The 25,256-nt window shown below is 36.5% G+C and overlaps 1 protein-coding gene across 12 annotated transcripts in view; it reads right to left on the bottom strand.

The window, feature by feature from the left end:
• GPC5 (glypican 5) overlaps positions 1-25,256 on the bottom strand; it is a 1,468,617-nt gene that overhangs the window by 1,150,191 nt on the left and 293,170 nt on the right. For all 12 annotated transcript variants that reach the window (NM_004466.6, XM_017020435.3, XM_011521054.4 and 9 more), the window contains exon 3: positions 23,166-23,860. In NM_004466.6, the coding sequence (NP_004457.1) occupies positions 23,166-23,860 (695 nt within the window). The remainder of the gene's footprint in view (positions 1-23,165; positions 23,861-25,256) is intronic.

The raw sequence follows: 25,256 nt of genomic DNA, 5'->3' as shown, positions 1-25,256 counted from the left end.
GTTTGCACGTCCCCGGTGGGATTTGTCCTGTAGCAATGTGGAGTAGAGCAGAGGAAGTATTTTGTTTGGTCGTGTTTACAGTTGTTCTCAGTAACTACCAATCCCTCTCCCAGTCCCCAGAACAAAGCTAATAGCCATTTACGCAAATGAATTAATACTTTTGTTCTCAATAACTCATTTGTTGGAAATAGTCACATGACAATGCAGGAGACGATTTAAATGCTCCTTTCCTAGAGTACTCAAATATAATATCATGCCTTCCTTCTGATCGCATGGAGACCTTGTAAGTTTTTCTGCCTTTGTCATTCCTCACATCTACTTACCTATAACATTCCACGCACATTCATGTGTCATATATTGCACAGTGAGAAAGGCAGTTAAAACAGACTGCTGACTGGAGTTTCAACATATTTGATAGACAAATGCTTATTATGCAGAATATTTGAAAAACTAAGAAAAAGATAACCAAATAAAAAATAAATGAACACAAGATATGGATACATAAGTCACAGATATAATGCAGATGGCAATAAACATAAAAGCTGATCAACCTCAATATTTATCTTTGAAATTGAAAATATAATTTCATCCAACTAAATAGAAAAACATTTAAATATTCACAGTATCAATTGTTTGTCAAGGTATGAGAAACCAATAGTCTCTCACGTTACTGTGAATGTAAAGTGGTAAATCCTCTAATGAGGTGGAGGTGGGGTATTGGCTGTTTTTATGATGTTTGTAAGTGTATACTTTCTACCAGGCAGTAATTCTCATTAACCATATCTCACCTAAAAAAACAACTACACTTAAGAACAAGGAGGCATATACAAGGATGCTCAATAGATCATTTATTTTGAATAATGAAAAACTGAAAACTAATGCCCATCATTCTTCAACGACTATAAAATCCATAGTATGTTATATAGTTTTTATGTACTTTGTAATCTTTAAAAAAAAAAATCAAGATGGGCCAGGCATGGTGGCTCATGCCTGTAATCCCAACACTTTTGGAATTTGAGGTGGAAGAATCGCTTGAGGTCAGGAGTTCAAGATTAGCCTGGGATACAGAGTGAGACCTTGTCTCTACAAAAAGTATTTTTTAAAAACAAGATGAGCATGGTGCTGTGCACCTGTAGTCCCAGCTATTCAGGAGGCTGAGGTGGGAGGATCGCTTGAGCCTAGAAGTTAGAAACTACAGTGAGCCCTGTTCAAGCCACTGCACTCTAGCCTGGGTGACACACACACAGAGAGAGAGAGAGAGAGAGAGAGAGAGAGACCCTATCTTAAAAAAAAAAAAAACAACTTCAAGATAATTTATGAACAAAAAACTGAAAATGATAAGGTATCATGTGTGGTATTTAAATTAAAATACCACATATTTCTATTGTTATAGTTATTTATACATATAAATGAATTTTAAATGTCTGGAAGGGTACATAAGCAATCCCAAATGGTGGATGCTGACAGAGAAGGGAAAGCAAGCTGGCCAAGACCCAACCTTCTATAACCTTATCCTCACATTTACAAACACATGTATTTACATTTTGTTCTTTTTTGTCTGATTTTACCAAATTAGAATTATACTCTATACTTCTCCACGACAGATTTTGTCACTTAAATGTCATGTATTTCAAGAATATATCCAGCAATTAGTAGATATATACAAATATGTTTTATAATTTATCTATGTGTACGTGTAGATATCCACACATATACATACTCATATAATGTTTTATACACAGGATCATATCATACATCCTGGTGAAGTAAGAGGCAGAACTTGTCTCTGGAGGCCAGGTTCAGACACCAGACCAAATTAACAACTAGCTAAAACAGGGATGGGGCAGAAGCAGCTTTCTGTGAGACACCCCTACAGTGTGCCATGTCAGTTTACCATTGCCATGGCAACACCCTGGAGCTGCTGCCTCTTTCCACAGCCATGACCAGATGACCCAGAAATGGCTACCCTTTTCCTAGAAATTTCTGCATAAACCACCCCTTAATCTGCATGTAATTAGAAGTAGGTATAAACACGACTTACAGAACTGCCCTGAGCTGCTACTCTCAACACATTGCCTATGGAGGAGCTCTGCTCTGCAGGAGCAGTCACAGAGCTGCAACACTGCCTGAGCTGTAACACCCCCGGACCTGGAACACTGCTGCTTCAACAAAGCTGTTTTCTTCTACCGTGGGTTGACCCTTAAGTTCTTTCCCGGGCAAAGCAAGAAACCCTCCCAGCCTAAGCCCCAGTTGGGGCCTCACCTGTCCTGCATCACTGGGTTCTCATTTTTTTTTTTAATGCCATAGACTTTTCCTATTATTTTGCTTGCTTCTCTAACTCCTATCCTCCCTATTATCTCGACTCACAGCTTGTCCTTCCCAGATAATCAGGTACAGCAAATCATTACACATTCTTTTCTGTTTTCTCCATGTTCACATGTCCATGTACTTTTCACATAAGCACATTTACACACATTTATATATAGTATCTATTTCTAAACATAAAGATAGTATATTTAAAATGGAATCATTTACAAAAATAGGGCATTATATGTGCTTCGATTTGTTTCACTTTCTCAGTCTCATAATACGACATCAAAATCTTTTCATATCAATGGACAGAGCTTGAATGCATTACTTATGAACCTTGCATAATCTTCCACGGTGTGTGTGTGTGATTGTATCCTAATGTATTCAACAATCCCCCAGTTGGATATTTACTTCTTTCCAGTATTGTGATCTGAATGTTGCCGAAAATATAAACAACCTTGTTCTGCATCTTTGAAAACTATTAGTGCTTTTATTTTAATATAATAAAGTCCCAAGAATTTGACTGTTGGGTTAAAGTCTATAAAATAACTCCAGGCTAACCAAGGAAGGAGGTGAGTTGTTGGTGAGAGAATAGGACTGAGAATTTGAAAGGCAGATAAATAGTCTTGATGATTATATTAAAGAAATTAATCAAGCCTACCATGGAAGGAATTAGACCCTGAGAAAATCAGGTTACCACTGAGTTTTTGAAAGGTTATTCTGAGGCTCTGAGATTCAATGGTTATTCTGGTGATGGAATGGGATGGGATAGGGCAGTGGAGGAGAGAGGGAGACTGGATGAGATTAGACTAACTAGGACATATCTACCTGCAATCATCTCCAAGCAAGAATATGATAGTTGGCTACATAAAAGAGCAACTCAAACCTATTTGAGACATATTTAGGTTATAAAATCAATAGGAATCAGGATTGGAAATTTGGTGGGAGGTAAAGTAAGTGTCAAGGATGACTCTTAGGTTTCTAAGTGGATGTACTAAAGAGTAACCAGGTTCGGGAGACAAGACCATGAGTTCAGTTCTGGATTTCTGGGTTTTAAAGAGTCTTTGTGACATTCTGAGAGAAAGTGTCAAGTAGAAAGCTGGTGCTCAGAGATTTCTTGGATACATATAAACAAGGTGGTAACTGAACCTGAGAAATCAATTTCTACCAGGCTGATGTGACAAGGGTCTCTAAAGTGACTCTAGGAATAAACTACTTTTTATATCCCAAAAGCCTGAAATCATCAGAGGTAGAGAAAATGACGGGAAAGGAAAGGAGAAAAGACATGACTGCTTTCCACGTTCGGTTTTATATTAGGAACGGTGGAAAATGATGAAGAGAAGATACAGTTACTATCATCATCCTGCCAAGTCTGACTATTTAGGCATTCGAGAAAGTATTTTAAAGGGGGGTGGGGGGCACTTCCTTACTCCTTTCAATTTTTTCATAAATATAAGTTTAGTGGCTTCATTTTTAAAATCTTGCTTGCTTGTAGTATAATATGAAGGCTTGTGACTTATTTATTTATTTATTTACTTATTTATTTATGACAGAGTCTCTCTCTATCACCCAGGCTAGAGTGCAGTGGCACGATGTCAGCTCACTGCACCCTCCGCCTCCCGGGTTCAAGCAATCCTCGTGCTTCAGTCTCCTGAGTAGCTGGGATTATAGGTGTGCACCTCCATGCCCAGCTAATTTTTGCATTTTTAGTACAGCCTGGGTTTCACCATGTTTCCCAGGCTGGTCTCAAACTCCTGACCTCAGGTAATCTCCCCACCTTGGCCTCCCAAAGTGCTGGGATTACAGGCGTGAGCCACCGCACCTGGCCGCTTGTTTTTTATTTTTGTTTGTATTCATCCATCTCTTACATTTAACATGATCTCTTTTTTTTTTCAACAGGCTTAATAATTCTAAGATGGCGGATTAGTAAACTATGGCCAGGAGTGTCCTTTATTGTCTCTGAACAGGGTAAGAGTGGTTTTGTGATACTACTAATACCTCTTTGTTCTAAGGCTACTCAGCTGATGATCAGTGTATGAAAAAGCCAATAGCAAAGTCAGACGACACCAGGCCGTGGGGTGGAAAGCTTTTCTGTATTATCTTCTGTTGTGGGTTACGGATTTTCCAATGTGAATGAAGGACACTCTATCAGAGATCACTGATGACTGTGATGTGCATTTTAATTACATAGATTATATTGTTTGTTGATCAACAAATGACGAAGATATCACATTCTAATCCATATTACATATTATGGATTTTAAAAATATTTATGATTCATACTTTCACCCAAGTTAGTGAGAAACACCAATATATTCAAATTATATATATATACACACACACACACATATATATACACACATATATATACACACATATATAAATACACACACACACATATATATATACACACACACACATATACACACACACACACATTAAACTGGAAACAACTTTGCTTTTGATGTATGCTCTTAACTAGAGAATCCATCTTAATGGTCCTTGTGAATATAATAATTCTCGGTGCATATGGATAAATCATTGAATAAAATGGTTGCTTGGTATAAAACTAGAAGCATAGCATCCAGACAAAGATATTTGTCTGAGACATGTTTACTCTCATCTCTCTGGAAATAAACCACTTTTAGGAGGTCAAGATAATGTTTAGTCCTATTTTCACATTGCTGCACCTGCAAAAAATCTAATTCAATCAAATGCACATAGATTTTTCAAAGGGATTCAGTTTCTGAACCGTGTTCTTAGAGTCCTTGGGAAATTTCAGCATGACCAATCCTTCTTTAATGTGGGGGACCCATCTGAGGATGATCACAGCTGCCAATGGCCTAGCCATAAACTTGAAGCTACCCAGCCACATACTAGGCCACATTCCCTTCAACATCCCCCAAAATAAATTTGCTGTGACCCAAACCCGAAATAATGCACAATTATTAAAATGACCACTTTGGGAAGTAATGAAATGTACCTCAGAGTAGCATTTTTCTAAGTGTTTTTAGCAGAAAATCCATAACTTGTTCAGTCAAAAATGGGCTTCTTGGTTAAATATATACTGGAAATGCTTTACTTAATACAGTTAACAGGTATTTTTAAATAGCAATATTTCTTTTTTATTAGTATTATACTTTAACTTCTAGGGTACATGTGCACAACGTGCAGGTTTGATACATATGTATACATGTACCATGTTGGTTTGCTGTGCCCATTAACTCATCATTTACATTAGGTATTTCTCCTAATGCTATCCCTCCCCCAGTCCCCCACCCCCTGACAGGCCCCGGTGTGTGATGTTCCCCACCCTGTGTCCAAGTGTTCTCATTGTTCAATTCCCACCATGAGTGAGAACATGAGGTGTTTGGTTTTCTGTCCTTGTGATAGTTTGCTGAGAATGATGGTTTCCAGCTTCATCCATGTCCCTGCAAAGGACATGAACTCATCCTTTTTTTTAGCTGCATAGTATTCCGTGGTGTATATGTGCCACATTTTCTTAATCCAGTCTATCATTCATGGACATCTGAGTTGGTTCCAAGTCTTTGCTATTGTGAATAGTGCCACAATAAACATACATGTGCATGTGTCTTTATAGTAGCATGATTTGTATAATCCTTTGGGTATATATCCAGCAATGGGAATGCTGGGTCAAATGGTATTTCTAGTTCTAGATCCTTGAGGAATTGCCACACCGTCTTCCACAATGGTGAACTAATTTACACTCCCACCAACAGTGTAAAAGCATTCCTTTTAATAGCAGGATTTCTTAGAGCCTTTGACATGATCTGCGTGGAAACCACCCACATTTCCCTCTAGGAGATGACTATTGTGTGTAGGCTTTCCCTGAACTTAATTAAGATCATGCAACTTTTTTTTTCTTCAAAGAATACCTATTAACATCTAAATGAACATGAGTGAACTACAAAAAAAGCAGTTTTAAAAACTTCTTTAGATGAACCACGTGGATTCTGTAAATGAGAAATACACTTGTACAGTCTAAATGCATCTAGTTTGTCAGTGAAGCCTCAGTCCTGCCCCAGGCCCTGGGCAGCTTGGGCTGCCTTAGAACCCAGACAGTACATGCAGTGGAGAAGCCCAAATGCCTGATGTTTGCATTCCTGAATTAAGAAATGGAAGATGAAAGATGTAGCATGGGAACACTCCCAGAGCTATTTAGAATAGATTATATACACCTCTACCAAAATGTGGTTTTAATATTTATTATTTTTCTCTTGCCCTTATTTCCAATAACCTAATTTGATAAGCAGGATTTTTGACAGGACTTAAGATAAATGCAGATACAACGCTAATAATATCAGAGTATTTATCTGCATAAAAGTTTAAATGGAAGCATTCTGTGCATTCATTAGAAGAATCATAGATTATCACAGTTGTCTTGCTGTGCTCTCATGGAAGATATGAAGTGTTAGTAATTTAAGATTCAATAAAATATTATAAATGCCTGAAATTAAATCTAATTCAATGCATTAAATCAAGAAGTTTCTGCTGTGGCATTTGAGGTCATTTCAGTTTAACAAATATTGCCAGACACTTTAACAATCACTGGGGATAAACAAATGACAAAGTCTAGTGAATTATCTGTATAAGCTTCCAGTTTTACTGGTGAGGTGGACATAGAAGAATGTTCAACACAACATGGGGTTAAGATGAATGGCTGAAGTACTGCATGTACTTTAATAGACCTGGAACATGACAGGAAGGGAGGGCAAGTCAGGAGACTTGGAATGAGATTGATATGTGACAAGGGTGGTATCGCTACAAAGGGAACTTTACACCATGCTATGGGGCTTGTATTTTTTCAGACAGATACAAAGAAGGCCAAGCTACAGGCAAAAAGATCAATTTGGAGACAATTGCTGTGGTCCAGCCAATGCATGATAAAGGCCAGATTTCTTAAGTTGATGATCAGATATTCATTGGGGAATCATATATGAATCAAGACTTCAACTCTAGGGATACAGTGGTAAGCACAACCAACAGTCTCTTGCCTTTGGGCATCTGCAAATCAATATAAAATATAGAAAATAAATAATTGCATTCATGCAAAATGCTGTAAAAGAGAAGTTACAGTGTTGCCAGAGTACATTACAAAGTTACCCAACCATTTCTACAGAGGAAAGCTTCCCATAGTTAGTGGTATCTATTCGCAACACAGAAATGAGGAGTAGCATTAACATTAGCTAGATAAAGGTGCTTGGGAGGATGGCCAGGGGAGAGCCTATTTCATTCAAAACACCAACAAGAGTCATGAGAGAAGACCGAATGCTAAAGGAACCAAGAGAACTCCAGCATAGCTAGAGCAAGGGAGTATTACGAGTGGTGCCAGACAAAGGTAAAGTGGTGGTAAAGGCCAGAATGTGCAAAGTACTAAAGGTCAGTATAAAGGCTTTTAAATTTCATTCTAAGGTAAATAAAAACCATTGGAAGATTTCAAGCATAATATATTTTATCTTTTAAAAATAGCATTCTGACTTCTGTGTAGAGAGTAGACTAGGGAGGTTAAAGTGGCCATGAAAAAGTGAGTTAACCTATTGGAGTGTCAGCAGTGTAGCTGCATGCCCAGCTGGTAATACCCAATGTCTAGCAGTGCCTAGGACACTGTAAACACTCAATATACATTACTTGAATATTCGAATGAATGTTTGAGATTATCCTCTTACTTAAATGTATCAGACTCATAAATTTCTTAAATAACAAAAATAGTTTTTCAGGATCTGAAAGTTGAGCATCCGTGGGGAAAACAAACAAAACCTTTGATATATGAGAACTTTTTTTTATCTGAAGGACCTTGTAGTGTTAAAGACAAAATGTTTCTAAAAACATATTTAATATGTCATAGTGAATAACAAATTAAATGACACATTATTCCTCTGAGTCTCCAAAGCCTCAGAAAGAGTATGCCAACAGAAAGAACAAACCCACACATAGAAATTACTTCCTGGCATATACTGGTTTTCTATTTGCATGAGTCAATTTTCAAAAGTATACATTGTAATTTTTTTATAACAGCTTTATTGTTATATAGTTCACAGAACATAAAATTCGCCCTTTTGAAATCCACAATTCAGTGAATTTTGTTATATTCACAGAGTAGTGCAACCATCAACATTATCTAATTTTACAATATTTTTGTTACCCCCTCCAAAAAAACCCATATTGCCTTAGCAGTAACTCCCCAGTCCCCTGCACCTCTTAGCCCCTGGCAACTATTAATCTACTTTCTATCTCCATGAATTTGCTGTCCTGGACATTTCATATAAACAGAATCTTACAATATGCGGTCTTTTGGACTGACTTCTTTCACAAACCGTGTTAAAGTAATTAATTAGGAGGCCATTAGACTGAGGTGGCATCAGCTTTCTGGACTCCGACATATACATACGGAAACCCAACTCAGAGTATACAGTCATATCCCAGGGGAAAAACAAAAAAAAAACAAAAACAAAAAACGTAAACTTAAGCAATCAGAAATAGCCAAGGAATCTCTATCTAGAACTTTAAGACTATGTCCTCCCTTTATCAATCAAATATTGCCTTTGTCTTGTTTCCGTGAATACCTTATAAACGCTTTTCCCTCACACACCTTCTGTGAGGTCCCAATCGCTTGAGGTCTGGCACTGACCAATTCATTAACTCCTGTCTGCTCAGCTATATACTTTAAAATTTTAATATGCCTAAGTTTATTTATCAAGGTCCAATAATATTGTGGCATGTAACAGTACTTCGTTCCTTTTTATTACCAAAAAATATTCCATTATATGTATATAGAACATTTTATTTGTCCATTCATCAGTTGATAGACATTTAGACTGTTTCCAGTTTTTGACTATTAGGAATATGCTGTGATGATCATCTATGTATTTTTTTTGTGGATATATATATATTATGTTATCTTGGGAATATACCTTGGCATGAAATTAGCTGGGTCAAATGCTAGCTCTCAATTTAACTTTTTGAGGAACTGCCAAAGTGTTTTCCAAAGTGACTGCAGCATTTTACATTCCCTCCAGCAATGTTTGCATGCTCAGTTTTTTCCACAGCCTCACAAACACTTTGCTACTATTTATCTTTGTTTTTATTATTTTTTTTGAGACAGGGCCTTGCTCTGTCACCCAAGCTGGAGTGCAGTGGCGCGATCATGGCTCACTGCAGCCTGGATGTCCCAGGCTTATGTGATCCTCACACATGAGCTTCCTGAGCAGCTGGGACCACAGGTGTGCCAACATGCCTACCTAATCCTTATTTTTTTTGTAGAGATGGTGTCTCGCTATGTTGCTCAGGCTGGTCTTGACCTCCTAGGCTTAAGCAATCCTCCCATCTTGGCCTCCCAAAGCACTGGGATTACAGGCTGAGCTATCATGTCCAGCTTGTTTATCTTTTTAAATATAGCCAACCTACTCAGTGTGAAGCGGCATCTCACTGTCTCAGTGTGGTTTTGATTTATATGCCACTAATGACTAACAATGTTAAACATCTTTTCATTTGCTTATCACTCATTTGTACAGCCTTCTTTGGAGAGTGTGTATGCCCATCTTCTGCTGGGTTAATTTTTAATTGATGAGTTGTAAGAGTGTCTAATTGTATTAATTAGTGCCTGAATATAAACATTAACTTAGACCATGTCATATATTGACAGTAATGTCTTATTCCTGATTTTAAAGCAAATGTATCCAGTAATTCCACTGTGCCCTTGGAATTATATAATAAGCCTATAGTTTTTTCCAGTTTTCTATTTCTATTATGTTTCATCTTCAATTTTTATATTTATTTCTATGATGTTTTAATCTTAATTTATTGTTACATGTATATTGTTGCTATTTGGCACATTCCTAACTACTCGATATTCACTATGGATTGCATTCTTTATTGTTACAAAGTATATATTTCATTTCTTGTTTTTCATTTTCTTTTTTGTTTTTGCCCTTTATTCATCCTGTAGGAACATCTTCTTCAACTCTCAGTTCCCACATTTGCAGCATATTACATCTGCTCAATTATCCCATGATTTAATGATTTCTCCCCTACTTGGGGAGCAGTTAAATGAATTCAAGTTTCTAACACTTCCCAACAAAAAAGTACCATCCATCATAAGCAACCTATTTTCTTGAGACCTTTTATTTCTCAGTGTGTTAGGTCAAAGTATAATTTCCAAAAAAAATTAAAAATATGACTCTAAAAAATATGTAATGAGCAGTTGTGAAATATTTTTTGCTTAATTTCTTAATGAGGGAATAAACAGCACAATCAAGCTGCTTGAAAGGTGAATACCAGAGATTAGCATTATACTCCTTACAAGAAGAAGCACGGCAATATTAATGTCAGATTTACAAGATGATTGACACTTTTCAGATAAAACAAGAACTTTTTGGTTTGTTTTCTCAATCAGGCAAATATCACTTATAACTCTATGGGGCAAAAATTATTTGCTACTTATCAATCTTCTGTAAATTAAATCTAACTTTACAGATCTTAGTATGGTCCATAAAGTGATGAAATAGTAAGTAAAAAAAAAAAAAATTACATGTAGCTAGGGCCAGGTGCGGTGGCTCATGCCTGTAATCCCAACACTTTGGGAGGCCAAGGTGGGCGGATCATGAGGTCAGGAGATCAAGACCATCCTGGCCAACATGGTGAAAATCTGTCTCTACTAAAAACACAAAAATTAGCTGTGCATGGTGGCGCACACCTATAATCCCAGCTACCAGGGAAGTTGAGGCAGGAGAATCGCTTGAACTCAGGAGGCGGAGGTTGCAATGAGCCGAGATCGTGCCACTGCACTCCAACCTGGGCGACAAGAACAAAACTCCATCTCAAAAAAAAAAAAAAGAAAAGAAAGAAAAAAAAAGAAAAAAGTTACATGTAACTAGAGATGGCTCAAGGAGCTCACCTTAAATAATTGGAGGAGTATAAGTAATATTTTTCATTCTTTTCAGGTTTTGGGTAATTTTTCTTAACAGTTACTACTTTATTATTGGAAATTATAACTACATGTCATTTGGAAATATGGGGGGGGGGGTGTTTTTAGAGTCCTTCTCCACCCAAGTAAGAGAATAAAGGTTTCCTATTCTTAGACCAAAACCTGAAGGTAACATTGAAACACACAAATCCTTCCCCCCAACGATGATATCCAGCATCAAACATCTACTGCTGATCTGATGAAATGAGTTTGGATCATCTCTAAATCAGACTATCCATATTGTGCTTCCACTGTACAGACAAATGTCACTGAAGAGTTTAGTACACATCCTAATACTGACTCTACCAAAACCTACCATGCTTTCTATTGACATTTTCCTTGGGTAATCTTTCAACAAAAAGTGCCTCATCTGCTTATTACATAGAGAGTAGCTGAAAATAGAATAAGGAGAATAGCAGGCCCCAATTTTTGAAAGTGGGAGGTACTACCTGTCTCAAAAGATAGGTGCTAAAGAGTTAGATGTTAGCAGCCAGCCTTTCTGATTCACGAAGTCAGAATCATAAATGTGAACAGTCAGAAGGGGAAAAATGTGAGTGGAACAAAATATCCCACAGTTAGACTACACATTCCTGAAATGTGAAGACTTTGAAAATTCCTATTATTTCTTCCTTAGTTGTTAAAAATGAAAACAGAGAAGGGAGTATAAACCTTCTCCATCCTCACACCTCTTACACCACCCTTCCCATGCATAGCTGAAACCAGCCAGACACAAGACCAAGAAGGGAACTGACAGCTGGAGTCTTCTCTGATCATCTCTAGATAGATTAGGTCTCCAAGGTCAAATAATGCAAAGTTTTATTAAAGAGAAAGAGGATCAGTGGCCAATGTTGTAGACTTGCATTCCTCCACTGTAGAACTTCTCAACTATTGACCAAGAATGATCACAGGTGTGGAAAGAGATTTTCCTTCTTATTTACTGAGTCAATTAGGAAGGGGTTAGGGTAGCCAGAGGCCCTGGCTATCCACTCTGGCCTACAGAGCTTAGTCCTTACTCCGAGGATCATGTAATATGACTATTGACTTTGTGGTCAAGACATGGAGAAAGTTGAGAGGCACTGTTTTCCTTGTCCCATCTTGAGTGAGGTTGTCCTTGGTTTTCAAGTCCTGAGAAGTTTTAGGCAGGAGGCTCACAATGGTACTCTGTGGTTTTCTGTGGCCATGGAGTTCTGGCAATTTGAGGTGACTCATCAGAGGCTTCAGAAGTCATGGAAGGTCCAATGACTGCCATGATGCTGTATGTAATACTGATCCTGGGGGCCCCATGACCAGCAGAGGCAGCAATGCCGTGGGAGCTTAGCCCAGACCCAGATCCCCTAGGAATGCTCTGTGGCGGGGGTGGGTCATGCCTTCTATGGTCATATAAAAACTGAAAGTGAAGGGGTAGAAAAGGATATTCATTCCATGCAAATGGAAACCAAAAGAGTATAGAGGTGGTACTTAGATGAAATAGACTTTATGTCAAAACTGTAAAAAGAGACAAAGAAGGGCATTACATAATGACAAAAGGATCAGTTTTAAAATGTTGCATAAGAATTGCAAATATGTATGCACCCAACATTGACACACCTAGATAAAAAGGTACATATTAATAGATACAAGCCAGAAATGGACTGCAATACAATAGTATTGCAAAGAGTAGAGGACTTCAATACTCTACTTTCAACAATGGCTAGATCAACCAGAAAGAAAATCAATAAGGAAACATTAATTTTGAACTACACTTGAGACCAAATGGACCTTAAAGAAATATACAGATAATTCTGTACAAAGGATCATAAGAGAATAAAATGAATAAGTATATGCAAACAAATCAGATAACCTAGAAGAAATGGAAAAATGCCTAGAAACATACAAACTACCAAGACTGAATCATGAAGAAGTAGAGAATCTGAATAGACCAATAAGGATTAAGGAAATTGAATGAAACATTTTAAAATAATTCCCCATTATATAAAATCCCAGATGAATGGCTCCACAGTTGAATTTCACCAAACGTTTAAAGGAACTAGCACCAATCCTTCTCAAGCTCTTTAAAAAGTCAAAGAGGAAGATATACTGCCAAATTCATTTTATAAGGCCAGCATTACCCTGATACAAAAGCCAGATAAGGACACTAAAAGAAAATAAAAGTACATATCATTATCCCTTATGAACACAGATTCAAAAATCTTCAACAAAATGCTGGCAAACCATACTCAGCAGCAGTGACATTTATCCCTGGGATGCAAGGATGATTCACCATATACAAAGACATAAACATGATATACCACTTTAACAGAATGAATGACAAAAATAATATGATCTCAATAAACACACACAAAAAAGCATTTGATACAATTCAATATTCTTTCATGACAAAAACTCTCAACAAATAAGTTATAGGAGGAATTTATCTCAATACAATAAGGGCCATATATCACAATCCCACAGCTAACATTATACTCAATAGTGAAAAGTTGAAACCTTTCCCTCTAAGATCAGGAAGAGGACAAGAGTGTCCACTCTTGCCACTTCTATTCAACATAGTACTTGAATTTCTTGCCAGAGCAATTAGGCAAGAAAACTCAATAAAAGGCATCCAAATAAAAAGGGAAACAGTTAAATTGCCTCTTTTCAGATAACATGATCTTATTTACAGAAAACCCTAAATACTCCAAGAAAAGGTAATAAATAATAAACAAATTTGGTAAACAAATAATAAACAAACTTTATTAAATGACCAACAGGTATATTTTTAAATGCTTAATATCACTAATCAAAATAAACATAAAATCTGTAGCACTTCCATACACTAACAGCAAGCTATCAGAAAAAGAAATCAAGAAAACAATCCCATTCACAACCACTACCAAAAAGTCACTTAGAAAATAAGTTTAACAAAGGAAGTTGAAGATATGTACACTGAAAACTATAAAAATTGATGAAAAATTGAAGAGGATGAACTTAAATAGAATGATGTCCACGTTCTTGAATTAGAAGAGTTAATATTATTAAAATGTCCAGTACCTAAAGCCATCTATAGATTCAGTGCAATCTCTATCAAAGTACCAATGAAATTTTTCACAGAAATAGAGAAAAAAATCCTAAAATTTGTATGGAACCACAAAAGACTACAAATAGTAAAGCAATATTGTGCAATAAGAATAAGGCATCACACTGCCTGACTTCAAAATATACTACAAAGTTATAATAAACAAAATATCATGGTACAAGTATAAAGACAGACATGCAGACCACTGGAACAGAATTAAGATCCCAGAAATAAATTTATGCATCTCTAGTTAATTAATTTTGGACTAACATAAGACCTGAAACTGTAAAAGTACTAGTAGAAAACATAGGAAAAAAATGTTCTTGACATTAGTCTTAGCAAGATTTTTTGGATATGACCCCACAAGTACAGGCCACAAGAGCAAAAATAGACAAATGAGATTCCTTCAAGCTAAAATGCTATGCATATCCAAGGAAACAATCAACAGAGTGAAGAGACAACCTGTGGAATAAGGGAAAATATTTGCAAGCCATCATCTGATAAGGGCTTCATAGCCAAAATACATAAGGAACTCAAACACTCAATAACAATAAAACAAATAACCTTAACCACAGCAGAGGGCCTGAATTTAGACATTTCTCCAAGGAAAACATACAAATGGCCAAGAGGTGTATGTTTAAATGTTTAATATCATGAATCAACAGGGAAATGCAAATTAAAACCACAATGAGATATTATTTCAAATCTGTTAGAATGGATATTACCAAAAAGACAAAAGAATAACAAGTGTTCTGAGGATGTGGAGAAAGGGGGAAACTTGTATGCTATTGGCAGGAATGTTACTTTGTACAGGTGTTATGAAGAAAAGTGCAGTGGTTCCTCAAAAAATTAAAAATAGAACTACCATATGCTACAGCAATTATCCTTTTGGGTATACATCGAAAAGATATGAAATCAGTATGTGGAAGAGATGTCTGAACTCCCATGTTTATTGCAGCAGTATTCACAATAGTCAAGATACAGAATCAATCTAAGTGTCCATCAACAGATGAATAGATAAAGCAGATGTGAGATATATACATATGATTCTGCACAGCCAATGAAACAATCAACATAATGTAGAGAGAACCTATGGAATAAGAGAATACACACACATACACAAACACAAACACACACACACACACACACACAGTGGAATATTATTAAGCCTTAAAAAGAAAGAAATTCTGTCATTTGCAGCAACATGCACGAATCTAGAAGGAATTATGCTAAGTGAAATAAGTCAGGCAGAGAAAGACAAATGTTGTATGAATCTCATTTTTATGTAGAATCTAAAAAAGTCAAACTCAAAGGAGCAAAGACAATGGTGTTTGCCAGGGCTGAGGCTGAGGACATGTTTGTCAAAAAGTAAGAAGTTTCAATTAGACAGAAAGAATGAGTTCTGGAGATCTATTGTACAGCATTGTGACTATAGTTAATAACAATGTATTATACACTTGAACTTTCTCAGAGAGTAGATTTTAAACATTCTCACTAAAAAAATGTGTACATGAGGTGAAGGATATCTTAATTAGCTTGATTTTAATTATTTCACATATATCAAAATATCATGTTGTACACCATAAATACATATAATTTTTGACAATTAAAAGGTAGTTAAATGAAAAATAAATTAAATTGTGGAAAGACATACACATGAGTTTATGCAGTATTAATTTAGAGAGATTTACCCCACAAAAGTAGCCGGAGGATTGTCAAAGCAGCTGAAAGCATCAGTGATGCACCTGAAGACCTATTCACATAAAATTCAATCAGAAATTATTTCAGAAAAATTCAAAAGAATCACTAGGCATTATTAAAAATTTCTTATTCCCAGGAGACAAACAGCTCATAATATTGGGATAAGAGATTGTTTGCTCAAAGAAACCTCAATAACTTAACAAAAGCAAATGCACATTTGACACGTAATTTGATTGAGGAAGAATGTAAGGGTTCTTTTTCCTTTTACATTTAGAATTAAATGGGAGTGAGTAACCTGGAAAGAAGAAGATGTCAAGAAAAGTGACAGAATAATAGCCTTCAAATACTTAAAGGCAAAGATGGCCAAGACTTAGTTCCTATCTTCACAACATTACATTCTAGTATACCATGGGTGACTATTACACATATAATCCTTCACCATAAGGATAAACTTTCCAGCAACTTGAGATGTCCACAAACGTGATGGACCACTCTTCTAGGAGGCCTCTGCTCAGATTCTGCCTTACAGACCTTCAGACTTTCACAAGATATTTAATATTTTTACCTCTCTCAGGAAATTATGTAAAAGTAAATAACTGTGATTATCAGTCTTTATTCTCAAGTAACTCACACCACAATATTTAACAGAAAGATAAAATCACAAAATAATCATGCAACACTTTCAAAGTTCTATGAACTGTTTACACAGAAAGTATTCAAACTTGTTACCTGCCCCTAAAGAATTTTGGACTTGCCTCATTATGAGGTACATGAGTCTTCATTAGCCCTCACCACTGCTAATCACCTCAGGAGAGGTTCCACTCACCACTATCACCACTCCACTAGCACAGCCCACACATGCAGGGGTCAAATCTCCAAAATAAGAAGGATTCAGAGCTAATCAGGCATGTGAAGAAAATTCCTACCAGCAGAGGCTGAAATATCACAGAACTACCTCAACAGAGTATCAAATTTATGATATCTAAACAGAAAATCCATGCACAATAAAATTACCCTTTGACTTGCCTCTAATCAGAAAACATCTCATTCCATATCTGAAAAAAAACAAAATTACCTTCATATTAAAAATAGAAACAATTAATTGTTACTACACACTTAATATGGCCACATCTGGAGTAAGAAGTTCCTCAACACTATATAGTGACCAGAAGTCGGTGGGTGAAAACCTTTAGAAAAGATCTCTACATAGAACTGTGAGTTAGAATAGATAACCCTCCTGTGGTCTAATGAATCTTCCTTTTCTGCTTTATTAGCTTACAGTGTTTTCTATAAATCAAAGTCAGCCCACTTTCATTGGATTCTTTCAGAGCTGACTTTCACACCAGGAGCTTATATTTTCCGCTCTCAATTGTTACAAATTTAATTCTTATGCCTTTTCTTTTTCTTTGTCAATTCCCAGTCTTATTCCTCAGAAGAGCCATGTACTAAATCATAAGTTCAATATCAACCCACCACATATGTTAAACAAAAATTAAGCAAAGGTAAAAATAATATCTTTCAACACTACTAACAGTTACTGTAGAATGTATTGCATTTAGATATCTAAAATTAAAATATCTAAAATTGCAATGGTATTTTGAATGAAATTTTGTCCAACCACCCATGGGCTTCGTCTATGAGGTAGCTTATATACAACCTTTGGTCACACCTTCCACCTTGTGGCAGCCAAGTCCAAATATGAACATGAATGAAAGCTCCCCCACCAAAACATTTTTATTTCAGAAACAATATCTTGTCAACTTTTCATATATTATGGAAACTGGAGCAACCCTAGAGATTCTACTTATTCATTCCAATCTCTTCTCTGTCCAAAGTTTATACATTCTGATCTGAGTCATGCTCAAAAGAACACACTCTACATATCCAACATTAATTTCAAAATAATTTCATCCATGTTTGAACCTCTCTAGGAACCAACTCTGGTATCATTCTATTTCACCCTAAGAATGAGATGTCCTTTCTTTAACCCAGGGGTCCTCACCCTCAGGTCTGTGGCATCACAGGAGCTGTAAAGTCACTGAAATTATATGCAATAGTTTGCATGTGCCTGTGTGTCTGCGTGTCTTACTTTTCTAGGGAAAGGGCATATTAGCCTTCTTATTATTGTGAAAGTGTCATGACCACGAGAAGGTGATGCACTCTGCCACCTCTTCTTCATCACTCAAAAACTCCCACACTGCACTAGACTGACTGACGCTAAGCAAATGTCATGACTTTTTCAAGTTCATGTGTGATAGTTACTGTAGAATGTATTGCATTTAATATCTAAATTTAAAATATCTAAAATTGCAATGGCATTGTATTTTAATTAGGTTACTTTGGAGACTGAGATTTTGAGAATTCTTCCCTACGCTTTTTTGTTCTCTAGTACTTATTTTTGCAAAATCTCACATACATCCATATTGTAGGAAAATATATATCACATCATTGAATAAATTGGACAAAATTAGCATTTTGTCCTAAATAATCCAGGCTGCTACTTTAACTTTTCTTTTATTGAAGGTATAGTTTAAATGCCTAAAAACACTTAATAAATTTACTATGCTTACTGTCTACAGATTCAGATAAATGTACAGAAGAAGTGATAAGATATTAGTTTCCTTAACAGTGAATTTAAGTATGTTAGTATATATTATACAATTCACCGTAAAGTCATTTTTGATAGGTTTTATTGATAGAATTATATAGTAATTCTAAAGTAATTTGAGTACAACCAGCTGAATCTCTATTAATATTGCATAGATAGAATAGCTGAAAAACTTATCTGTAAGAAAAAATAGAATGGGACTTTTTTTGTTGAAAATTATGATTCTGACCTTGGGAGGCCAAGATGGGTGGATCATGAAGTCAGGAGCTCGAGACCAACCTGGCCAACATGGTGAAACCCCGTCTCTACTAAAGATACAAAAAATTAGCTGGGTGTGGTGACGCATGCCTGTAATTCCAGCTACTTGGGAGGCTGAGGCAGGAGAATTGCTTGAACCCGGGAGGTGGAGGATGCAGTGAGCCAAGATCGCGCCATTGCACTACAGCCTGGGTGACAGGGCGAGACTCCGTCTCAAAAAAAAAAAAAAAAGAAAACATCTTTTTTTCCTAAAACTGTATAGAATCAATATTTAGCTGTGTTTCCTGGTAACATTTGTTCTGTTTAGAACATCTTGAAACAATGTTATTAAACCAGACTCTATGTTCTTATGCCTTTAATAAGTTAAAGTGTCAAATTATAGCAAGAAATAATATATTAAATGTAATTACTAAGAAATAGGATTTCAAAAAATATGAAGTATTTATTTACCAAATGAATTAATAATTTATTAACAAGAGGGTAATCTATTAATATTAACATTTTAATATTAATCCGTTAATATTAAAAATACGTTAGAGACTTGTCTAATATTTTCTGAAAATATCAATTTTTTCTCATTCATAAAGACAATTACAAGCATTTGTTTAATTAAATGATTATTTAAAATATTTTTTGAGCTCTACACCCCTAAGAAATAAATGTTTACTTTGGGAGCATTTAAAACATCAGAGAAGGCCAGGCGTGGTGGCTCATGCCTGTAATCCCAGCACTTTGGGAGGCCAAGGCGGGCAGATCACAAGGTCAGGAGTTTGAGACCAGCCTGTCCAATACAGTGAAACCCCATCTCTACTAAAACTACAAAAATTAGCTGGGCATGGTGGCAGGCACCTGTAGTCCCAGCTACTTGGGAGGCTGAGGCAGGAGAATCGTTTGAACCCGGGAGGTAGAGGTTGCAGTGAGCCGAGATCATGCCACTGCACTCCAGCCTGGTGACAGAGCAAGACTCCATTTCAAATAAAAAGAAAAAAAATTCAGATAAATCAGTGAATTATTTCTAAATAATATAATGTGATAGTGATAACTGGTAAAATGTAAACACTATGCACAAGACATTAAGTGTGTAAGTTCATTTTATTCTCACAAGGATACTATTATGGTATTTCATCACCCCATCTAACCAAAGAGGAAACTGAAGCAAACAGAGATAAAATAAGCAAATGCGTAAACTCAGAGCTAGTAAGAGGCAGAGACAGATGTGAAATCCAATTTAACACTTGGACTTGTGCTTTTAATTCCTACTCTTTGTTACCTCTCTTCTTTATTAAATCAAACTTTGTCTTAATAAAATCACAGAATTATGAAATTTAAAAAATTATCTTGTAAATTAACTTTTGTTTCTCTAAACATTAACCAAATATAAGGTACTTATGATTTTTCTCAGAAAACTAAACTTTGTTTCCAGTTGAAATTCATCCAACAGAAGTATTTTATATATATATCAGGTATCTCCACAGATATTTTAAAGTGAAAATATGTATTTATGGAGGAGTAGACTTGGAAGTACTAGATCTCAGAGATTTCTTTGGGAATGTGAGAAAGTCATTATTTGCTGGCTTTCCAGTAATTTATTTTGAATTTGTTAAATTCATCGATGTGCGAACTGGTTATCAAAGTTTGATAAAGAGCTTATAAATCACTTTGAATTGGTAGAAATAAATATTAATGGGTCAATTTTCAAGGAATTTAAAATCAGTTTCTTCTTCTGTTCCCATAAGTAAAAAAGAGGACTCAGTTGTTTTATTTAGAAAAGAATCCATAATTTATCAGTAATAATTTATATTTCTCAAAATAGTCATAGGACTATTATATAAAATCAGACTATTTTAAAAAGAGCACTCTCTTTGAAAATACAGCAGAGAGTTTTACATGATAAAAGTTGTGTATAAAACTTCTTTAGGAAACATAAACCTGATTCTAATACTTTGAGATACTAAAGTCACCTGCTTCACCAAGGTCTGCTTAGGGCCTTCCTTAGAATAAGGAGAGAAAAGAGTAAGGTTATCAGGTACCAACTGCCTACCAGTGTCAGACTCTGACCAACACTGTCCTATTTAAGTTATTCCTCCCTTCCTTTTCACATAGGACAAACAGGCTTAAGGGTTTTAGAAGCTGACCCAGCCCACATGACTAATGGGTAGCAAACTCAGGATTTGAAAGCTTGCCTGTCTACTGCAAACTTTTATTTTAGTCTTTGAAATAGGAAACACAGAAGATTTTCTACAGGATAGATTTTAAGGACACAAAAAGGCCCTTCAGGTTTCCAAAATACATAGGAAAAAAGGTCTTGAAAACCTATTCACTTACATATATCAGAAGGTCCTGGCCATGGGACATTAAGTTATAATGACCCAAATTAATAATCAAATCTGGACTTGGTCTCTGATTTCTTGTGCTTACTTTCCCTTTTGGAGATACTCAATAAAATAATATGAGCATTTTGGTCCGGCTCAGTGGCTCATGCCTATAATCCCAGCACTTTGGGAGGCCGAGGCGGGCAGGTCACGAGGTCAGGAGAACGAGACCATCCTGGCTAACATGGTGAAACCACCTCTCTACTAAAAAAATACAAAAAATTAGTTGGGCATGGTAGTGGGCACCTGTAGTCCCAGCTACGTGGGAGGCTGAGGCGGGAGAATGGCATGAACCCGGAAGGCGGAGCTTGCAGTGAGCTGAGATCATGCCACTGCACCCCAGCCTGGGTGACAGAGTGAGACTCCGTCAAAAAATAAATAAATAAATAATAATAATAATAAGAGCATTTTGTTCCCTGGATCTAAGTGCTTATTTTTCAAGGAAATACTTGAAACCACAGCAGTCATTGGTACCTCCTTTTGAGATGGTTTATTGCATCCCTTCCAGAGGTTCTGGGCCATGTACAATTTTCATAAAAGGATGTGAGAAGACAAGAAGACCAGGCCATTACATCAAGTTGAGAACCCGGTTAATTGTATAGGGATACCCAGCTGAATGAAGCAGGGAGTTAAATTTCAGCCCACACATTACCCTATGCTGCTGTGCTGAATCCACCTAAAGGAGGTGTCATTTCTAATTTGCAGAAAGGAACCATAAAGGCTCACGCAGGACCTGGAAAGTCCCTGAAGGTTAGGAAGAGAAGGGGAAAACGCGTTTGGACATAAAGCTTTTCAGATTCTATCAGTCATTAATTAAAGGAATTGAATCAAAGTCTGTTTAAAAGTAATGAAATCGCTGGGCGCGGTGGCTCATGCCTGTAATTCCAGCACTTTGGGAAGCTGAGGCCTGTGGATCACCTGAGGTCAAGAGTTCGAGACCAGCCTGACCAACATGGAGAAACTCCCTCTACTAAAATTTTCTGCTTAAAGCTAATTTATGAGAATGCTTGTTAATTTGGTAAATCAATGCCAGCCTAAGGAGATGTCTTTTGTTGGCACTGGAGAGTATAATTTTATTTCAGGGGAATATGTTTAGTAGAACCATCAGCATGCTATCCTATTTCACTCTGGGATATGAGAACTATTACTAAGGGAGCCAGTGAATATTTAGAAAAATGGTTCTATGTAAGGTGAGACAAATAGAAAACTCTCATGTGTTTTGATTTGATGATTGTGTTTTAAAAACGTTTCAGCCTGCTAGGAATAAAACACCATGACCGTGTATACACTACATTTTAAAAATTATCACGCCATCACTGTGACAGATTTTGGAGCATCTCTGAAGAAACTCTTTTGAACACTAAGCTATCAAGTCTTAACTTCAGGGATATATAACTGGCATTTTCCATTTTAAAGCCAAATGCTTCTGAAATTCTAACAATAACTACCCATTTTTGGAGTACCAGGTACCATACTAAGTAGTTTGCACACATAATGCCTATATTCCCAAAAAAGAATACTTCAAATGTTGTATGTTACTATTTCCTTTTTATCACTGAGGAAATTGAGGTGCAAAGAGGCCAAAGGGACTTACCTAATTTCATTTAGCTAATTACCGGCAGGCTAAAGATTCAAATCTATGCTGTTCCTGATTTCAAACCTGAGCTCTTGCCACGTCACAGTACTCACCCTTTCAGCAGACTTCTACTTAGGAGAGAATGTGGTATTTCAGCCAATCAAAATTTTATCATAAGATATAAAAAAATAATATCTTGGATTGAATATATCAACAGACACATTCTCCTACTATTTCCTAAAGTATATCATGGCTAATATTTGAATTACAAGAAGTCAGACTGAAAATGTGGAGCTCCTACTTACCTGTTCCAATAATTTTTGTCCATTGAGGTGAGCCTGTAACACAGCATCATTAACAAGCAAGTGAAAGTTCAGCAGCACGTGTCCAATGTCGTATGTTCCATGCATTGCATCCGAGAGTTCTTCCAACGACCGGATATATGCATGCCAGTGTGGATTAAGCTCCGCCATGTGCGCCAGGCAGCCTCGCATGACATTGAGGCAGTATCCCATACAAGGCTTAGTGAGCGCCAGGCCTTGGCAGTGCGGGCAGTATTGCATCTTCAGGAGGGCTCTGCTGCACTCTTTGGAGAAGTGCAGATAGTCTGTGGTGTTGATGACTTCAATGCCCAGATTGAGTGCCTGCAGAAAAGTGCGGCTGGGCAGCAGGGACCTCCCCATCTGTCCCATTACTCTTTGGGGAATATTACCAAATGGACTCACATCCCGGCGAGCCATCCGGATGCATTCTGAGTATTCCAGGGAACTGTCAGTCACACCAGGGTTAATGAGGTGGTTGTAGACCAGAGGAAAAAGACTGTCAAAAAATCTGTTTACAAATTCTTCAGGATTAACATCCGCACCAAATAAATACAGCCCCACATCAGTGAAGAACTCCTGAACCGAAGCAGCAGCCTCCAAGGCCATGTTCCTGTAGGTACTGCAAAAAAGTATACTGGTGTAATTTTCTGCTTGTTTGATGAGAGTTTCAAGGGTTTCTGTAACACAAGCAGAGGTAAAACATGAGAAGGTTTAGTATTCATGCTAACACCGTCCATCTGCTCCAGACATTAAATGACTCATCAAAACTAATCTAAGTATCTAAATTGTAACTCTCAGCCTACTCAACCAAATTCAGCTTTCCAAGGATAATGACCGGACAAGAATGACCATTGCCTACAACACACAAGTTTTATACAGACATATTTCTAGGATCACAATCTGTTTAAAAGTAATGAAATCACCAGGCGTGGTGGCTCACGCCTGTAATTCCAGCACTTTGGGAAGCCGAGGGAGGTGGATCACCTGAGGGTAAGAGTTCGAGACCAGCCAGACCAACATGGGGAAACCCCCTCTCTATTAAAAATACAAAAATTACCCAGGCATGGTGGCAGATGCCTGTAATCCCAGTTACTCAGGAGGCTGAGGCAGAAGAATCATTTGAACCTGGGAGGCGGAGGTTGCAATGAGCTGAGATTGCACCATTGCACTCCAGCCTCGGTGACAGAGTGAGACTCTGTCTCAAAATTAAAAAAGTAATGAAATAAAAAATAAGTTACATGTATGGTAGTTTCTTACTTTATTCTATAGTCATTCATAACTCACTAATGATAGAAAAAAGTGTCATTGAGAAATTTAATTCATAATCTGACTTCATTATTTATAAAAGATGGTCACATTAAGTACTTAATTCACCACCTGCTATATTTTTATAATTTTTAAAATCTTTTTCTTTTCCAGAATGAAAGCTAGTAGATTACACACTGGTTGCTACAAAGGGAGGTTAGATTCCCAAAGGAAAACCAGACAATCCTTAGACCTCCTCACATGTTCTAACTAAAGAGAAAGTAAAGCATTCATTTTCAAAGTATCCATAAATTATCACATTTTGTTAAGCACTGGGAAACCCATGAGTGCTACTATTTGATGAAAATAAATTATTGTGACCACATTATTAATCATATCCTTTTTCTTATCATCTTATCTTCAAAGACTTTACTGTGGGATATTTTGTTTCTTACTTAAATAACTGATGATCTCAAGTCAATTTATCCACAAAAAGAACCAAGAATAATTTACCCGTAAATTAAGGGAGAAAATCTAAAAATAGAAAGTTGGAATAATCAGCAAGTCAAAATGGTATATCAAAATGAGGCATTAAGCAACAGTAAACACCTTGGATATATTAGTAATTACATTTCATAATTAGCCTAAATAAGGATACTGGACTGTTTCAATATATAATAATAAAATATATTCAATAAAATTATCTCCTATAGTCCCAACCGTATAGTCACTTTTAATTAGGTTGTAAAAGATCACGCAATAACTTAGTAATCTAAACACTGTTTGAGTATATTACAAAAATAGGTGGAAGAAGAGTAGGAAAAAACA

The sequence above is a fragment of the Homo sapiens genome, chromosome 13 (genome assembly GCF_000001405.40).
Source record: "Homo sapiens chromosome 13, GRCh38.p14 Primary Assembly".
NCBI lineage: Eukaryota > Metazoa > Chordata > Mammalia > Primates > Hominidae > Homo > Homo sapiens.
The sequence above is the reverse complement of the archived record's forward strand: the minus strand, read 5'-3'. Positions and strand labels throughout refer to the sequence as shown.